The 19,294-nt window shown below is 43.5% G+C and overlaps 1 protein-coding gene across 5 annotated transcripts in view; it reads right to left on the minus strand.

The window, feature by feature from the left end:
- Positions 1–19,294, minus strand: part of ZFYVE26 (zinc finger FYVE-type containing 26) — an 87,699-nt gene that overhangs the window by 35,601 nt on the left and 32,804 nt on the right. For 4 of the 5 annotated variants that reach the window (XM_047431173.1, NM_015346.4, XM_047431175.1 and 1 more), the window contains 12 exons: positions 18,288–19,033; positions 16,841–17,037; positions 15,749–15,853; positions 13,634–13,756; positions 13,067–13,243; positions 11,368–11,614; positions 10,524–10,622; positions 7,555–7,718; positions 5,102–5,238; positions 4,025–4,056; positions 3,212–3,348; positions 1,735–1,955 (listed from right to left, as the gene is read on the minus strand). In XM_047431173.1, coding sequence (XP_047287129.1) covers positions 1,735–1,955; positions 3,212–3,348; positions 4,025–4,056; positions 5,102–5,238; positions 7,555–7,718; positions 10,524–10,622; positions 11,368–11,614; positions 13,067–13,243; positions 13,634–13,756; positions 15,749–15,853; positions 16,841–17,037; positions 18,288–19,033 — 2,385 coding nt within the window. Of the gene's footprint in view, positions 1–1,734; positions 1,956–3,211; positions 3,349–4,024; positions 4,057–5,101; positions 5,239–7,554; positions 7,719–10,523; positions 10,623–11,367; positions 11,632–13,066; positions 13,244–13,633; positions 13,757–15,748; positions 15,854–16,840; positions 17,038–18,287; positions 19,034–19,294 lie in introns of those variants that run through there. The other variant, XM_011536609.3, reaches the window with a different exon arrangement.

Consider the following 19,294-nt stretch of genomic DNA (forward strand, 5'->3'; position numbering starts at 1 on the left):
ACAGACAAGAGCCACTGCACCCAGCTGAGTTTTGTTTTTAAGCCTATATTTATTTATTTGTTTGTCTATCAGAAGGGGGTATGAGTTAAAAACATTAGAAAAATACTCTGAAATCCAAGAGTTTGTAAGTGATTTGCATGGCGACACATGTGAGCAATGAATCCACTCCCATCAACAAACTGGTGCAAAGGGAAAGATTCTTAGAGTGGGCGTGTCTGAATGCAGGATCAGAGAAAAGGCTGTTTAAATAGAAACCATTGCTGTAAACTGTCAAAGACGCGCAAGACACCTTGGGGTGGGTGAGAATCCTATTAAAGTGAGGACTTCCTTACTTTCTGCTGCCCTGAGCCTAAAAATGGATATTTCCTTCATCTGTATTACATTTTAAAGGAAATACAGGACTTGATGTGAAGTTTGTTTTCTCCCCAATCTAAATATCTTTTCCTTTTTTCATTTACATTACTGATACTTGAGATATATTTGAATATATTTTTACTTTTGCCTTAAGTCTTTTTTCATGTTTCCTTTGTTTTCCATCTTTTTTTTCCTCCTCCTATCCTTTTCTCATAATTAGGTAGATTTTTTATTCTTTTCATGGTTATTTCAAAAATTTAACACATATCTGTTTCTTCATTTATCAACTTGAAAAATGATGTAGAATCTATTACCTCTTGATATAAAGGAATCAGATTAGTTCCTTTTCACTTCCTTCTACTTTGTTTCACCTCCTCCTGCTTTTCTCAACCTTCTAGTTTTTGTTACTAAAAATAATAAAAATTACTAACATTTTCGGAATACACAGTATATACCAGGCTTAGTTCTTCACCATTTACATGGATGATCTCATTTTATCCTCGTAACAGCCCCATGAGATCAGTATTACTACCCCATTTTATAGAGGAGGAGACTGAGGCCTAGAGGGGTTAACAGAGCTAGGAAGTCGTGAAGCTGGGATTTGCTGTGCTCCATGCTGGCTGCTGAGTCTGTAGGCAAGTATTCCAAGCAAATGTCTGAGGGAGGCAATGATACCGCAGAGAAAATTATGCTCCCTTCTCCCAAATCTGGTTAGGACTGAGTGCTGGGAACACACAATCTGAGTCACACATTTGAGTGGATAAGCAGGGAATTAGGAGTCACTGTCAGGTTAATGGATGGAGTCAAAACCGGTTGTACAGGAACCTGAGGGAGGTCTAATCATACCTTTTCCATACACACTTCTACTTTATGACCCCAGTTCCTACCTGGGACACAGGAATAGACCAATTCCCAGAGTGCTTTTTAAAATCTATTATCCAGAATTCACTGAAGTCACAGTTTGAATTTGGTCAGGATTGGAGTAGAGTTTTGTTCAAGGCTAATCACTGGACATTCAAGGAGGACACATTTTCTTTAAAAGCCAGAAAGTCCCACAGAGACTAAAGGTGGTTCCCTACATTGACTTTAATGACAAATCAACTAATGAAAGTCTTTACTCTCTTTCTGACTGGTATAGCTAGAGTAAACTCTGCTTTGAGGGTCTGCTCTGAAAAAGAAAAGGACACAGGGTGTCAGGTAGGATGGGGAAGAACACTTGAGATCTGGCAACACCGTTTCATCAACATTACACAGATGAAAAATCTTTCAGCATGTCTTGTCAGAGAGGATGGTGAGATAAAAAAATCACAGTGGGGTCAGAAAAAGAAGCTGGCTAGAAACTGCTCCTGTGTAAAAGAATAGAGACCCACTGCCCTCTACCTGTCACAAAGAGCCAAGTCTTGGCTCTGGCCGGCTTTGACGAACATCATCTTGGCGCTGAACAGCAGCTGCTTCATGATGTCCGTGAGCAGCCCGGCATCCACCTCTGGGTTGGTGAGGCCCTTGGAGAGCCTGCAGCAGTGCTCAATCAGCTGGTGACCACAGGCAATGCTGTCCCGGTGCAGATTCAGGATGGCAATGCACAAGGAGGCGCTGGGGGCCTGGCCGGGGTGGAAGAAGGGAGAACACACGGTGAGTCCAGGGGCCAGAGCATTCTCCAAAGGCAGCTGGGTGGCAGAAATTATCCTTCCCCTTTCAAAAGGCTGAAAGACCCTGGAAGAAGGAACCAGATTCTACAAGAAAGCAGAAGTGGAACTAAACAAATTTCAGATGTTCTAAGTAGCACTGCCAAAACTCTGGCTTTTAAGTTATGTCATTTTACTGGGAAGAAGGGCACTGTGTCCACCTCTTACCCACTTCTTTATTTTTTTGAAACAGGGTCTCACTCTGTTGCCCAGGCTGGAGTGCATTGGTGCGATCTCGGCTCACTGCAACCTCTGCCTCCCAGGCTCAAGCAATCCTTCCACCTCAGCCTCCCAAGTAGTGGGGACCACAGCTTTGTGCCACCATGCCCGGCTAATTTTTGTATTTTTTTTTGTAGAGACGGGGATTTCACCATGTTGCCCAGGCTGGTCTCAAACTCCTGGGCTCAAGCGATTCACCCACCTCAGACTCTCAAAGTGCTGGGATTACAGGTGGGCACCACTGCGCCCAGCCTTGTTACCTACTTCTTGACAATGTCCATAGGTCCCCTCCTTTCTCTGGTCCACTAGTGCAAGTCCTTATTGCTGACTTGGACAACAATGGTCAGCTCACTTGTCTGACCACCTAGAGGAGTTTCTGCTTTAAGCCATGGACACACTGCTGCTAAATTAATATTCCTAAAGCACACTTGGAAACCTTTCATAGGCCCTTGAAACCTATCAAGTAGATAGTCCTTACTGCAGAATGTAAGGCCCTATATATAAATAATCCTTTTCAAGCCTACCTTTTATGAGCTCTCTATTAACCCTATTGACTCTATGTTCCCTTCAAATTAAAGAGCTTCCACTTCTCCAATCATGCCCTGCAATTTTGGACACGGTGTCTTTGCTCAGATGTTTTAATTTTGTATTCTTTGTCCTTCCCCATCCCCACTCTCCTCACGACCCCCAGCTTTCTGCTTGTCACACTCCTACCATTCTTCCAAAGCTCATCTTAAATGCTACCTCTTCCACGAAGGCTTTCCTGGTCTCCCCTTCTGCAATTCCCAAGATGTTCATTATTTTCTGCCTTAATGGATTTACTGGTTTAGCTCCCATATTATTGCACTATAAACAAGTAAAGGCCAGGTGTGTTCACCTACCTCTGTATTTCTTGTCATACTGCTACACATCATAAAGAAACTTAAGTGACCATTGCATTTTATTGCTATTACCTGCTCATAGTAAAATTCACTCCGCACCAGCTCATTTTCCTCCTCTTTGAGATCCAAAATCCATTCCACCTCATCTGCTTTGGGGACTCTCACCACAAACGAGTATGGAGGGCTTTCATTCTTGGAGCTGTCTAGAGCTGAGAAGAGAAATGCCATTCATGTGTCATTCACTGGCTGGCAGTTCAGTCTAACCCAGTCCAGTGAGCTGGCATGAGTTGCAGGTAGACACTTGCCTGCTATCTCAGGGCCCCTTTCTCTCTCCTTGGTTCCTTTTGTTTGCTTTAGGACACCCCACTAAGCACCTCAAACCATCTTCCCCAGGCATAGACCTGAGGCGAGTGTTACAGTATTTGTCACGTAACCTTCTTGCTTCACACAAGAAACCTTCAAAGGGGCGTGTTTCTCAAATAGATGGCTGAGCCACTGGACACTCTAAAAACTAACCTGTTGTGGACAGATACAGGCCAAACTGTTAACAGGGATTACCTAGGGGTAAGGAGGGAGCATGGGGAGGTAGGATGGTAAAGGGAAACTTAAGAAAAACTAAAATAAAATCACCTACTAAAAAGTTAAGAACCAAATTATTTGGTTGCTGGCCTTCTCAATGCTGGAAGCTAATAGGCCAGTGTAATAGGTTAATATGATGAACTTCAGAGGAAACAGGCTGATACAAATGCCAAGAATTTGCTTTGGCAAACAAGTTGGATGGAGTGCATAAGTTGGACAAGTATATCAGTCACAGCTGATATGCTGAAGATAGAGTCAACTTAAGTACACAAATGAAGAGTCACAGAGAACGGGATTTGGCCTTACCTTCTGGTTTTTCTGAAGGCTCCTCTGGTACACTGAAAACAGAGAAAGAAAAATTATTAAATAAATGCCTGAGTCACTTCTTTGTTTTGAGCTTCGTAGACAGCATCAACTTACAGTGTCTCCCTGGTACAATGGAGGGCTCTTTGAGGGTAGAATTGTTGAATGAAAGAGTCCCCCATCAATACTAACTGCCCATTTCAAATCTCAGCAGTATGGTGTGTGGGTAATTCCTCCAGGAGGGAGGGAGGCAGTGGTATGCTAGGGTCACGGAAACTGTAGAGTAAGTATGGTGTGTCTTCCTTCCTATGCGATCAGTAATCATTATGGTAAATAATGACCAAAAATGTTCACATCAGGACAAACACAATAATGCTATGGAGGAGAATAGAAAATCTATTTAAGTTTGTAAATAAAACATGCAGAATTCAAAGTAACTGGTTTTGGATGGTTGCTTTGGCCCATATTCCTAGATGCTCTAGGAGTCTTAGGTTCATGCTTCTTTGCTACTAGAAGTAGTGGAAACAATTGAGCAACACTGAGCCAACAAACAAAGTCTTGATCTGTCTCGCCAGAGGTATGAGCAGTTTCTGAAATTTGTTACCAGGTGAACTCTGTGTAGGCAAGTATGGAGGCTCTTCTAATTACGGATTACAAGCAAGAATGACTACCTAGATCAGAGTTGATATAAGCGATGCCCAACCATTCAGCAGGTGTGAACATGTCCATTTGAGTCCAGCTGAGACCAGTTGAAGCAAGAGAGGCTGGAAAATAGGTGAATTGGTGAACTAAGCTCAATGGCCTCTGTCTGGGGAAGGGCTAAGGAATCAAAGTCCTGATTTAAGAACATCATGTAAGAACCTTGAACACCTCTTCCTCTCACCCTACTTTCTCTCTTAGTGGTTTCTCTGACCAAAGTCAGTGTACAAACCCTTCAGTGTAGAGTTAATGGCATTTCAGTGTGAATGTTAAACATTTCTGGATTTGAAATGCTCTCATAATGAGACTCCTAGGAGTGTAGGGACCTGCGGAAGGGTGCAGCGGTCAATAATAGCAACAGCCCTGCTGTAGGACACTCACTCTTTGTTGCAGTAACTATAGCACTGATCACACACACGAGCAGGGTTCTCTCTGCAGCCTTCAACCACCATTTTCTTAGTGGAGCAGGAGCTGCACACTAGCCGGCCACAGCGGCGACAATGATGACGCCTGTTAAACTGAGGAATGCCATCAGGAGGAGAAGAAAGAGGGAGGAGAGAAGGGGAGATTGCCATCAATCCATTTATACATGGTATTAACTACCAGTGGCTTATACTTTCTAAGAACACCAACTGCTTGGGTCTCTATTGGAAAAGGACACACCAGTCCTTGCCCTCAAAAATTGAATGTTTAAAAATATCTGTCAGCTGATGGGCAAAGGTGCGAAGTCATGGAGCTTTGCGATAGCTCCTGACAAGTTCTACTTGTGTATGGAGGCAACATGTGGAAAAACAAGAAAAAGTAGTGGAGAAGAAGTCACTTTCTAAGCCAGTGCAGATCACATTTCTACATGGTATTGATGACAATGATTAAAAAGTATCCCTTTCAAAATGCCTTTATTTGTTTTCCCCAAGGTTATTTTAGCAGGTGCCATTTGTAACACATGATAAACATGAAGCAAGACTTTTAGGCTGGGCGCGGTGGTTCACGCCTATAATCCCAGCAGTTTGGGAGGCAGAGGTGAGCGGATCATCTGAGGTCAGAAGTTTGAAACCAGCCTTGCCAACATGGCGAAACCCCATCTCTACTAAAAATACAAAAATTAGCCAGGTGTGGTGGCGGGAGCCTGTACTCCCAGCTACTTGGGAGGCTGAGGCAGAAGAATTGCTTGAATCCAGGAAGCAGAGGTTGCAGTGAGCAGAGATCACACCACTGCACTCTAGCATGGGTGACAGAGCTAGACTCTGTCTCAAAAAAAAAAAAAAAAAAGACTTTAAAAACATAAACACTTAGGTACAATTTAATTTTACACACAAATTCTTAATTTGTATCAGTCAATTCAGAATGTCTCATCAGTCTTCTCCAAATTATATACCTTCTCTATACATCCATATTCTGATGTGTGTAATATAGTAATAATATTACCAAGCTCATCAGGTTATTGTAAAATTTAAGAGAGATAACTTAAGCAAAGCACTTAGTATCATGCCTGGAACATATACAGTAGGCAGTCAATAAAGGCCAACTGTTGTCATTATTAGAATTTAAAGATTAGAAACTCTTTCTATAATCTACCCTATATGTAAGTAAACCTTCTATATGGTGGTTTCAAAGCTAGAGAGCAGCTTGTCATGCAAAACTCCTTTTGGTGGCTTGTCATATGTCTCAACAAGCCACAACCAATTGTCCTCCTTGAAGATTTGTAAGTTTAAATAAGGAAAATACCTGACTCTGCTTTCCTAATATCTTTTTTTTTTTTTAAATCAACTTTTATTTTAGGTTCAGGGGCACATGTGCAGGTTTGTTACATAGGTAAACTCGTGACTCAGGGGTTTAGTGTACAGATTATTTTGTCACCTGGGTAGTAAGCATGGTACCTAGCAGTTTTTCTTCCCTGAACTTCTCCCTCCTTCCACCCTCCTCTGTCTCAAGTACACTCCGTGTCTGTTGTTCCCCTTTTTCTGTCCATGTGTTCTCAGTATTTAGCTCTCACTTAAAATTGAGAACATGTGGTATTTGGTTTTCCATTCCTGTGTTAGTTTGCTTTGGATAATGACCTCTGGTTCCATCCATGTTCCTGCAAAAGATATGATCTTGTTCTTTTTTATGGCTGCATGGTATTCCATGGTGTATATGTACCACTTTTCTTTATCCAGTCTACAGTGGATGGGCATCAAAGTGACTTTAAAGTACTGCTTCATTTCATTCTAATAGAAATATTACACCTCTTTTATAGATGAGGAGGAAACAGACACAGAGCAATTACATCACCATCGTTTTCATCAGCGTTGAGCTGATGTGGCATACTGGGCAGGTACTGCGTTAAGTATGGTGACACATATTATCATATTTAATCCTAACAGCTCCATGAGCCTAAGAATATATCATCCTTAGTTTACAAGTAGGCACATGAGACCAAAATAGTGTATAGTCACACTGTCATTAAGAGGCAGAGCCAGGATTAGAACCCAGGCCCTCTGTCTCCTGAGTCAGTGCATATAACCACTGCTGGGTCACCAGTCTTACTGTCAAAGACATGGGAGCCAGAAACAAGATCCACTGACACCTGTTGACTCCTCCTGCCTCTTTTTTATTATCTCATGACAATGGCAAAGATTTTAGAATTTATGGCTGTTTGAGGGTGTCTACTACCTGTCTGAATCCAGAAAATACATTCTGGTCAGGTCAAAAATGAACCCAAAGTCTTAGATTTGGCAGTTCTGAAAATACCGATATTCTCCTGGGGACAGGCGGTGATTGTAAACTCAGGCTCATGAACTAGAATTCTCCTTTACCTTCTCCTGAGGGTGACAGTGGAGACCGATGCTGCTTACCATGGTGAAGTGCTCCCTGCAGCAGACCATGCAGATACTCTCAGTCTCATCCGGTACCCACTGGTGCCTGGCAGGGGGTGTCGCTGGGGGCACAAATTCCTGTGAGGGCTGGGTTGGTGGGAAACTCCTTTCCCTTAGACTAGGGGAATGTATACTGGAGATACCTGGGAGGCAGAGCCAGAGGTCAGAGTAAAAGGTAATCAATATACCAGCTTATAGATGAAGAGGGAATGATAGAATTTTACCATTTTACAAACCGTTATTGAAAGAATAGATCCAGTTAATGATCATCAGTGACTGTTTGTGTCATAAAAGAGAGACAACTGAACATTGTGTGCCTCCTGATGGATGTGTACACCACCTGCTATCAAGTATACTTACTAAAAAATATTAAGCCTGAATCAAGTCCAGCTTCTAGACCTAACTACAAGTGTCCTGGAAATTCTGGGGATGAAGACGCAGATTGCCACAGGAAGGCAGTCAGCAAAATCCAGCATGTGGGAAGCTCCGGGGAACAAATGACTAGACTCCTCCACAAATAAAAAAGAGGTAGGGGGGATAAACAAGAAAAGAGGCAGGGAACCTATTGATTAAAGGCGCTTTAAGAGGCTGGTGCAGTGGCTCATGCCAGTAATCCCAGCACTTTGGGAGGGTGAGGCAGGAGAATCACTTGAGGCCAGGAGTTCAAAACCAGCCTGGGCAACTAGGCTGTCTCCATAGATGGATAGCAAGACTCCATCTATACAAAAGAAAAAAATACAGAAGTTAGCCAGACATGGTGGTGTGTGCATGTAGTCCCAGCTACTAGGGAGGCTGAGGTGGGAGGATTGCTTGAGCCCAGGAGTTCAAGGTTATAGTAGCCATGATCATACTACTGCACTCTGGCCTGGATGACAGAGGGAGACTCTCTTAAAAAAGAAAAAGAAAAAAAGATTTAAGAGATATTTCACCAAATGCCATGCCATGTATGGACATTATTTAGATCTTGAGTCTGGAAAAAACAACTATAAAAAAATCTTGATGAGACAGCTGGAGAAATTTGAATACTGACTTGATATTTGAGAATAATAAGGAATTATTATGAATTTGTTTCTAGATGTGATAATGGTATTATGGCTTTGTTTTATGAAAGTCCTTACCTTTCAGAGATTTATACTGAAATATTTATAAATGAAATGATGTGATATCTGGTATTTGCAAATTTTCCATAATAAAAACTCATATAGGCTGGGTGCAGATTATGCCTGTAATCCCAGCACTTTGGGAGGCCAAGGTGGGAGGATCACTTGAGTTCAAGAGTTCGAGACCAGCCTAGGCAACAAAGCAAGATCCTGTCTCTACAAAAAATAAAATAATTAACCAGGCAATGGTGGTGTGTGCCTGTAGTCCTAGCTACTTGGGAAGCTGGGGCAGGAGGAACTGACCTGCAGTGAGCTCTGATGGCACCACTGCACTCTAGCCTGGGCAACAGAGTGAGATCCTGTCTCCAAAAAAAAAAAAAAAGGCGCACACACACACACACACACCCCAAAGCTGCTCAGGCTGCCATTTATGCTCAGGCTGCCATTTATACAGATGCATGAAGCTGCTCATATACTTGCAAGGCTGAGCCCTCCCCTCAGCTCGGCTGGTTACCATGAAGCATGGCTAATTCTCAAAGTATGGCCAGAAAATGCCACAGTCTGCTTTATGATATGTAAAGAGATTTCTTACCATTTAGCAGAGCAACACTGGCTGGTCACAGAAAAAGAGAGATGTAAAACATAGTGACTCTTAGTAGCACTCAGAAGAAGAGACCTTAGAATCCTGCTCCTTTGACCATTTGGCAAAACAAAACACTTGGCTGAGCTTCTTTCGAGAGTAGGCCATTGTGTGGGGGCTGGAGACCAGGGGACTGGTGAAAAGGGTGACCAAGACATGGCTGAGGGCTTCAAGGAGCTTGTGCTTTGTGTGTGACAGTATGAACTTGAGGGCTAAGTACGGTCAAGGCTCATTAATACTAGATTGCATATTTGTAAAGTTGCTTGTTTGTTAACATTTGTAACCTCAAAAACAATACTCATCTTGCTTTTGTGGTCATTTGCAAACACATGCGGTCATGAAAGTTTTGAGTCACCCAATACTCAACACTCAAATTCCCAACTGAGGTTGTTTCAACCTCTATATAACAGTGACCTGGCTGGGTGTGGTGGCTCATGCCTATAATCCCAGCATTTTGGAAGGCCAAGGCAGGTGGATCACCTGTGGTTCGAGACCAGTTTGGCCAACATGGTGAAACCCCATCTCTACTAAAAACACAAAAATTAGCTGGGTGTGGTGGCACACGCCTTTAATCCCAGCTACTCGGGAGGCTTAGGCAGAAGAATTGCTTGAATCCAGGAGGCGGAGGTTGCAGTGAGCCGTGATCGTGCCACTGCACTCCACCCTGAGCAACAGAGCAAGACTCCGTCTCAAAAAAAAAACAGTGACCAGAAGATGGGGATGGTAGCGGACAGTGCGGGGTAGTGCCAGAAGCTCAGTGCTGGGGCTAGTTGAATGGGATTTGAATCCCAATTCTGGGACCTGTTAGTGGGGGTGGCCTGAGGCAAGTCACTTAACACTTCTGAATCTCCTTTGTAGAAAAAAGGAAATAGAATAGAATCGTCTAGGAAGAGTTGTTTTTAGGATTTAAGATTACCAACTATGTGAGATACGTGTATACATGTACACATTTCCCTTAGGAACAAGAGTTCTGGATTTGCTGGTTCAGTGTGGAGACTTTATAGACATACTGCCACAAATAACAATAGTTGACTGTATGTTGAATCTTTTGAGATATATATAAATCTGGAATGAACCAAGATAAACAATTAATAATGTTGTAACTGGCAATGAAAAAAAGAAGCAAAAAAAAAAAAAAAATTCTGAAGGATAGAATAAGGCAAGACTAAACTGAAAAATTTTAGTGAATCATCAGAGCCAGTTCTTACCAGGAGGAGCAGCAGGAGAGAACTCTGCTGATGGTGATCTAGGGAGGGTCTCGGGATCTGCAGCCTGGTGGACAATTTCTTGGAGGTGAATCACAGAATCTGTAGAGAGGGAAAATGCTGACAAAATATGGTTCTACCATAAGTATCTTGATTCACCACCCTAGGCATTTAGAACAAAGCTCTGTTGGCTTCTCTGATTGTCATTCCATGACTCTACTAGGTATTAAGAGAATGGAGGAGGTACCTCTAAGCCCATAGCACGCATGTTTCTTAAACGCCTCGAAAAACAAACCATGTTTAGGCATGTGAGATAATGAAATGGACACTAGGATTCTACAAAATAAATCAAAAAATGCCCAGAGGGAAGTGGAAGACGTTGAAATGATGCCCCTGGAGAGTAGGGAGTAAGAAAAAAGAGCTGGCTGGGAACATCAGTCCATACTTATTTCAGTTTCTTCAATGTAGAAGAGGCTGAGTCAGCTCACATACAAGTGATATCCGATGTGATCCTGGGAATAAGGCATACTCTCAATACCAAATGATGGCACTGAAGAGCCCGCTATATCAAGGCCAGACAGAGACCATTTCCAGCATATTTTGCTTTCCAAACCTTTATGTTATTATGTGCATGCAGTGGTTATCTACCACCTTTTAATTCTGGTCATTATTCTACTTCCTCCAAGACCAAGATCTCTCCTATATAATAAAGAGATAGCTCTTCTGAAGTGTATTCATTCACTCTAGATCAACCCAAAATATTAAAAGGGGAGCAAATTAAAACTAAGAATGCAGCATGGCATTTCTTCCTCCATGTAGAATCCCCTTCTAGGATGCTAGCAGTTACCTGATCGTTTCTCCCTCTGAGGGTATGGAAAGTCCAGGGCTTTCTCTGCGTATCTGGAAAGCAGTGAGTCCACCTCGTCCATAGTGAAGCCAATCTCCTGTCCAACCAGCAGCTGCTGGAGAGTCTGCACAGCCACAGTGGCCCAATCCACCTTCATGTTCATAAGCAGCTGCTCCAGCATGAACAGGGGGTTAGAGGACAAGTGGGAATAGCTGGCCCGGTGCTGCTCAGGCAGGGTCAGCAGAATCTGTTTGTGGGGTAGATCCATAGAGTAAAGAAAATAGTACACAAATTTCAGAAAAAACTCAAGATTCTCACTGGGAAGGGGAAGGGTGCATGAGAACAAAAGGTGCATAGCCAGCTACTGAAACAGACTCGCAGTCTTTTAGGAAGGCTGAGCTCCCCACTAAATTCTGCAGATGGTAATTGAGAAGTACTCCAAGTACCTTCACCAGATGAGGGGTTAGTAAACTTTTCCTATAAAGGATCAGAGAGTAACTATTTCAGGCTTCATGGTCCATAATGTCTGTCTCAAACATTCAGCTCTGCACATGTACCTTGAAAGCAGCCATAGGTAAAATGATAGTTGCACGTGTGTTCCAATAACACTTGCTTTACAAATGCAGGCTGGGGACTGGATTTGGCCCACAGGTGGTAGCCTGCTCACGCCTGGCCTGGACCCTCCAGGTATGATTGAGGTCTCCCTGACCCTTAATGCCACCATTCTGTTTATTTGAGGCTTTACTCAGAATGAGAAATACAAGGTAGTGTCAGTAGTCTAATGAAACCTGGCACCTCCTATGTCCTACAGGTAAACGATGAATCTAAGTTCTCCTTAGAAGTCACGATCACTAGGCTTGAAATATGTTCACTGACCCTGTTCACTGCCAGTTTTCAAGGGTTCCCCTACTCAGCTACAGCACATTGGGTGTATCTTCTTAAGGAACATGTTATGTAGTTCAACTCTTAGTAAGTGGGCCAGTGGTTATATTTATGGCTCTCTTAGCACTCGTTCTATTTGTGGGGTAGTATATAGGACTGTCAGGCAGAATAATTAGAAGAATGCCAGAGGGCCCTAGCTCTCTTCAAACTCTGCTTCACTGGATTACTTTTTCTAGCTGGAGGTTTCTTCTATTAATGTCTCCAAAGTTATACATCAAAGGTAAGAACTTATCTCACCTAATTACATAGACAACTAACCCTCTTCCACTAGCACAGACAAGTTTATCAAGCAGTCGTTTTAAATCCTTACATCAGAAGCCCTTTGGAAGATGTCCAGTCCCTATCCCAAGACCAGTTTTACTTGATCTGGGGTAGAGGTGAATAACCTGGTATTTTTTTCTTAAGTCCAGGTGATTCTAATATATTGTCAGCATTGAGAAGCATTGATACAGCAGATACCATGGAAACCATAAAGGCAACTTAAGAGGACCAGGTAGAATTCCCTATGGAGGCAGGACAGGAAGAGAATGACAAGTCCTAGGAGACTCAACTAGGATACAGAGGGCTTCTAGGGTAAAGATTTCATATAGCACAGGCCAGGGATGGCAGGTGCCTGGCAAAAGAGCCATTGAAAAGGCAAGTTCTGAAGAAGAGCTAGGCTCGCAGTCTCTCCCTCAGGTATGCCTTCCCAACACCTCCTTTTCCTCCTTACCTTGGATCCCACATACAGCGCCTGGATTTCACGGTGTATCCTTACCTTGGATCCCACATACAGCGCCTGGATTTCACGGTGTCGGACAGCAGTCAGTTGTCCATAGAAGTGGGTGGTGAGGTAGTTGGCCAAGAAGTGAGAAGTGGCCAAGCTAGTGTGCTGGTCGAGGGATTGCTCTGTCACTTCAAGGCACATGGTGGGGTCAGGGATTCTTCGCAGGAGCTATTGTCAAAGGGTAGAGGAGGAAGGTGTGGCCTGCAGAAGAGCTCTTAGACCAGCTTTGTTTTGTTTGAGAATAGAATATTTAGGTTTACTCATTTTGGACTAACCCTTTCTCTATACTCCTTTTTTTTTTTAACCACCTCTGTAGTTTCCCAAATGCCATGGCTTTGACAGGACCAGAATTCAGCAGAATTCTGGACCCAGCCGCCCCATCTGGCACCTAATGCAAGGCTAGGCCCCTTCTGCTCAAGATGACTATAACCAGCTCCTGAAAGATCAGAAGAGGCATAGCTGAGATTGCATGGGATTCAACATGAAAATAAAGCCATCTGATTTGACTAAACTTCTTGTCCCACCCCAGAAGAAAAATGGAAAGAACTGGGGGCTTACTTGCAGAGCCTTGTCATGATCTCTTCTTTCTAGAAGGTGGAGAAGATGCTTTTGATGAAGGCTGATTAAATGTTCTCTTGGAATGGGGTACAGGCAGCCCCACTCTTCACACAGTTCATACTCCTGGAAGGAAACACACATGCCTTCAACCCCTTTACATGACTGCCTGATTCTTCTCAGCAGTCTTGAGTCTACAAAGCCCCAGGAATGTTTATAAGTGCTGATGGGAACTTCACTATGATGAAAATGATTGAAGCAGGCTTACTGTTCATATCACTTTCCTCTTAGCACTACCATAAAAAAAAGCAGATGACATGTGGCAACAGACACTTGGTGTCAACCCTGGGAAGATTCTAAGGAAGTGGGAAAGACTGAAAAGACTGTTTAAAGGACATAGTCACCCATGCTATAAGAATGGGCAGGCCCAATGTTGTCAGACTTTAAAGTTACAAAACTTTTTTAAAATCATAAAATTTCTGTATTTTAAAATTTTGGCAATAAAGTCAATATGAAAAAATAAAAATTCTGTAGACCAATACTACAAAGGCCAAATAAACATGTTGGTGGTTGGATTCTACCCATGTTCCCCCTCACTACCCCCCAACCCCAATTTGTGAACTGTAGATGAAGTTTGAGAGAATAGAATTCCTAGGGCTTTGTTCAAATATTCCCACATGGTGGTGTCTGGAATGTCCTCCCCACAACCCTGCCTAGGACTGCCTTCTTCAGGATGCTTCCTTGTTTCTCAGGCTATGTTAGGTGCCCTGCCTGTGCTCCCACAATCTGAGCTTACTTCTGTCATTTGTATATTATGTTGCAGTCACCTAGGGATGCATCTTACATCACCCTCTCTCCAAAATGTGAGCCACTCCAGGGCAAGTACAGCTTAATAATTTTTGTTTCACCACCATCTACCACAGTGATTGGCAAATAATAGGCATGCAATAAGTACTTCCTGAATGAACGAACATTTCAATGAGCATCTACACAGTCAGCTTCTTAAAAGGTAGACAAAATCCTACTTACCACTCAGAAATCTAATAAACACATGAACAGATATTCAAATTTATTAGTTATCATGTAAATTAAAACAACAATGAGATACCATCTTATTGCAAACAATGAAAAGTTGGACAATATAAAAAGGTAACAAGGGGCCAGGTGCTGTAGCTCATGCCTGTAATCCCAGCACCTTGGGAGGCCAAGGTGGGCAGATCACTTGAGGTCAGGAGTTCAAAACCAGCCTGGCCAACATGGCAAAACTCTGTCTCTATTAAAAATACAAAAAAATTAGCTGGGCGTGGTGGCTGCCTGTAATCCAAGCTACTTGGGAGCCTGAGGCAGGAGAATCATCTGAACCCGGGAGGCGGAGGTTGCAGTGAGCCAAGATTGCGCCATTGCACTCCAGCCTGGGTGAAATAGCAAGACTCCATCTCAAAAATAATAATAAAAATAAAGATAAATAAAAAGGTGACATGGTTATGGAATAATGGGAACTGCGAGTGGGAGTGTAACTGGGGTGAGTGTTTTGAAGTGTGAGTTGGTAATATTCTAGCAAAGGTGAGGACACTCATGACCAATGACCCAGCAATTCCACTTCGAGAAATACATTCTGTACCTAACGTACACAATGTAGAAAATCTCAGGTATGAACACAGGATGATAATACAAAAGAGTCAATTGTATTAGTCTCTATACTTATCTGGATTTTGGCAAATTTCACAATAAAAAAGAATGTGGTATAGTTATTTTATTTTATTTTTTGAGACAGAGTCTCGCTCTGTCGTCCAGGCTAGAGTGCAGTGGTGCGATCTCGGCTCACTGCAAGCTCCGCCTCCTGGGTTCACGCCATTCTCCTACCTCAGCCTCTGGAGTAGCTGGGACTACAGGTACCCGCCACCACGCCTAGCTAATTTTTTGTATTTTTAGTAGAGACGGGGTTTCACCGTGGTCTCGATCTCCTGACCTTGTGAGCCGCCCGCCTCGGCCAGAATGTGGTATAGTTATTTTTTTAAAAAGTGAACATTGATATGCAGAAAGGGGCTTATACAGCCAGCTAAGGGGTTGTAACTCTGAAAGGAGGATGAAGGGGAACACCACCCAGGAAAACGGTACCTGTGCTTCTAGAATCATGTTCATGACAGTTGATGGGTCCTCAACACAACAGCTCCTCAAGGTCTGCCAGTCACACCACACTGGGGGAGACTGCAAACCCAGAATCTAAGGAAAGACAAGAAAATCCGTCAAACCACACTGCAGCTTCTCCCTCCATGAACAAGTCACTGGGCATGTCCACAGATGGGCCATCCCTAGATCTCTGCCCCAAAGTCAGGCTGTCAGAACTTGCCAGAAAAGAGAGCAAATTGGGCAAAGATTATTTAGAGAGCAGAGTGAACCTATCCAGGAAGAACAAGCAGGGAGTGAAGGCTGAATATGGAGGCCAGGACTGGGGCCTTTCACTAGTGAAGACAGTGCTCTCATGCTTCCCAGATTGTTCTGGGGTCACCTGTCCCATGCTCCTCTACCCCAAACTCCACCCAAGATATTCTTCTGGCTTGAATGCTCTGTGGGATCACCTTTCATACAACATTTTAGCTCTGCATGAAAACTGCCAAGGAAGAATAAAAAGAAACCTTTTTTCACCTGTCATTTTCACTACCCCTGGTAGGGTTTCTGGACTCTGTCTGCTCCAAGGATATGTTGGAAAATTAGCATCTATTTTATAGTTGTTATGTAGCCGTGCTTCCTAAATTTGTCTCCCTAAGCCTCTTGAGCTTGAACATAACAAATATCCCACAAGAATCTTTTAGTTTTGAAATTGTCACCTTCATATATCTTTTCAAAATAGCTCTTGAAATGTTGCTGAAATTTAAAACAAACTTTATAGAAGACACAATATACAAAAATATACACAAAGCTCAAAAAGACATGTGAAAAAGCCTTTTTGGACTGTAATACACCATTCCAATGTTAATTTTGTTATTTTTACCCTCACTTCATGCAAATGTATTTAAAATTATAGGAATAAGTAACACAGCAACCAGCTAGGAGGCCTCCCTGCTGTTCACCTAAGAACTGAAGCCAGATGCAAAGCAAAACCCAGACCTATATTTTCTCTTTCTTAAAGTCCCCCATCATATAAGATAGGTTGGGGTTGATCATAGAGTGAGAAGCCCGTTCCCTTTCTCTTGATGCGAGGGCCCATACCTTCTGATACACCTGCAGCTCCGCCAGCTTCCTCTGTAGCTCACACTTTAGTCCTTCTTGGACAGCCGTGTCTGAAATGCAGTAGGCCAGAATCTCCAGGCATGACTCCAGGGGCCACCTGTCCACAAACTGTAGGGCCAGCCGACTTCTCAGAGATGCATCCTTCACGGGAAACAGGTATTGCCAACCTTCTTTGTCTATAAGACAAAAAAGATGCTCAGAGGCAGCAAGCGTGGGACCAGAAGAGTTCAAGAGTCCAGGTTACTTCTTGAGAAAGGGCTTTCTTCAATCTCGTAAAAGAGGAGCTTGGAGGATCCTTAAGATGGATGTGATCTTAACTAGTTTTTACACTTGGAACCATTATATGACAAGGAAAATGCTGTATCTCTACCCTATGTGTATCTTTAGGTAAACCTGATAATAGCCATGAGACTTTCAGAAGGAAGAGAGGGAAAAGAGAAAGGAAGGAAGGAATGAAGGAAGGACAGAAGAGATGAAGCTCTCCATGTTTTGGCATGCTGAACATATAGGACTGTTTCAGACTCACCTTGTCAGTGAAACTTTCCTTTTCCCTGTAATTTCCACCCTGTGCCATACATAACCACTTGAAAGTTATTCCAGGTAGACTAGTTTCACTCCCTGACTTAGATCTCTCTCTTCCACACCCATTTCACAGATCTGATCTTGGAGATACAAAAAACAGACTCCAAGCAATTAAGAACACACAGCCAGTCAGTGGATTTCTCCACCTTTTCAAGGATGGATTTTCTCCTTTCCAAAGGGAGCCAAGCCTCCTACCCAAAAGTCATTCCCTACATCACACCCAACTCTTGTTGCAACACTGCTAGGAAATCCTAGTAGTGTTACAGCTCATTGGCTTTCCACTCTGGTTACACGTCAGAATTTCCTGGGGAGCTTTCAAAGCAGTGGTCATCAAACAGACCCACAATCTGCTTTTATAATACAGTTTTATTAGACTGTAGCCATGCTCATTTCTTTATATATTGACTCTGGCTGCTTTCATGCTGTACTGGAGGGGCTGGGTAGTTACGAGCGAGACTGTGGCTTACAAAGTCCTTTATAGAAAAAATGTGCTGATCCCTATTTTAAAGTAAACACTTGCCTGAGCTCTATCCTGGGCCTCTGGGGAAGGGACCCAAACATTTGTAGTCTGTAGAATTTCACAAGAATTGTGATATACAGTATTGAGAATACTGGTTATGCGTGGCTGTTTAAAGTCAGATGGACTTGGGTTCTAAGCTCTACTCTACCACTTACCACCCTGGGCAAGTTTCCTAACCCCTCTGAGACCTGGTCTCCTCTTAATAACATGAGATTATAGTGGGGCTTCTCTCTAGAGTTACCGTGAGGATTAAATGTGATAATATACCCAGTGAATACCAAATATTACCACTAGTGAAAAAGGGAGGCATAGCATTCTGCTCACCACATGCCACAGCACAGCTCAGGACTGCATCCTTTATGCTGCTCAAATCGTCCACATCTCGCCCGTACACTTCAGTGAGCTGAAGGGCCCGGGACCAATCTCTGGCCACCAAGGATTCCTCAAAAGCCTCACTCAGTACATCTAGGGCAATGGGAGAATGTAGGCCCAGGAGAACGGTAGAAAGACTGGCCCAACCACAGAGATTCACTGCCAGACTCTGCCCCTGCTGCAAAGACCCTCGCAGGGGCTCCCAGGCAGCCAGGAGGAAGGCCTCAAACAGAGGGAATTGTTCCAGAAGGCGCTCACACTCCCGGGCTACCTGCTCTGCAGCCAGAGGCACCTCCCTGCGGCCACGAAGTTCCTTCCATGACAAGCTGGGTTTGCTGACCTTTAACCTCGGGGAAGCCCCCAGGCAGGCCACCGTAGCTAGGAGCTTTGAGCGTGACTTAAGAAAGGCCAAGGCAGAGGAGGTGAGGGCTGGGAGTGATGAGTCCCTTGGGGAGGAGTAGGGCTTTCTTTCCAATGTAGGGTTCTCAGTTGTCCTCGGGGAGCTCGGTGTAGAAAGTGGGAGGTCATCCAGGCAGTGAGAGGCGTGTAGCTGGGCCAGAGTACCCAGACGAGTCAGGAGGGAGGAGGTCTGCTGGCTTTGCCGGGATGAGCAAAGAGCAAGGGGCTCACAGCAGCAGCTGACGATGACCTGTGGCACACTTAGGCTGAGATTCTCTTGGGCCAGAAGGGCTGCCAGTCTGGAAGGAGAGAAGCAGAAAGCATACAAGGCCTGAATACACAGGCACCATTAACCAGTCTTACAATTTCTTTATGCTTACATGAGCAAATGTAAATAAAAGTTCCTAATTGTCACACTCTTTTTTTAAAACACAAAAAGTAGCCTATTAGACATATCGCTCTGCCCTTTATGTTTTCACGAACACTTCTGCGAGATCTATCCATATCCCTCTACAGAGAGGACCCTCTTTAGTTTTTGCAGTTACATAGTATTCCATTAT

This window comes from Homo sapiens, chromosome 14 (assembly GCF_000001405.40).
Source record: "Homo sapiens chromosome 14, GRCh38.p14 Primary Assembly".
NCBI classification, from domain to species: domain Eukaryota; kingdom Metazoa; phylum Chordata; class Mammalia; order Primates; family Hominidae; genus Homo; species Homo sapiens.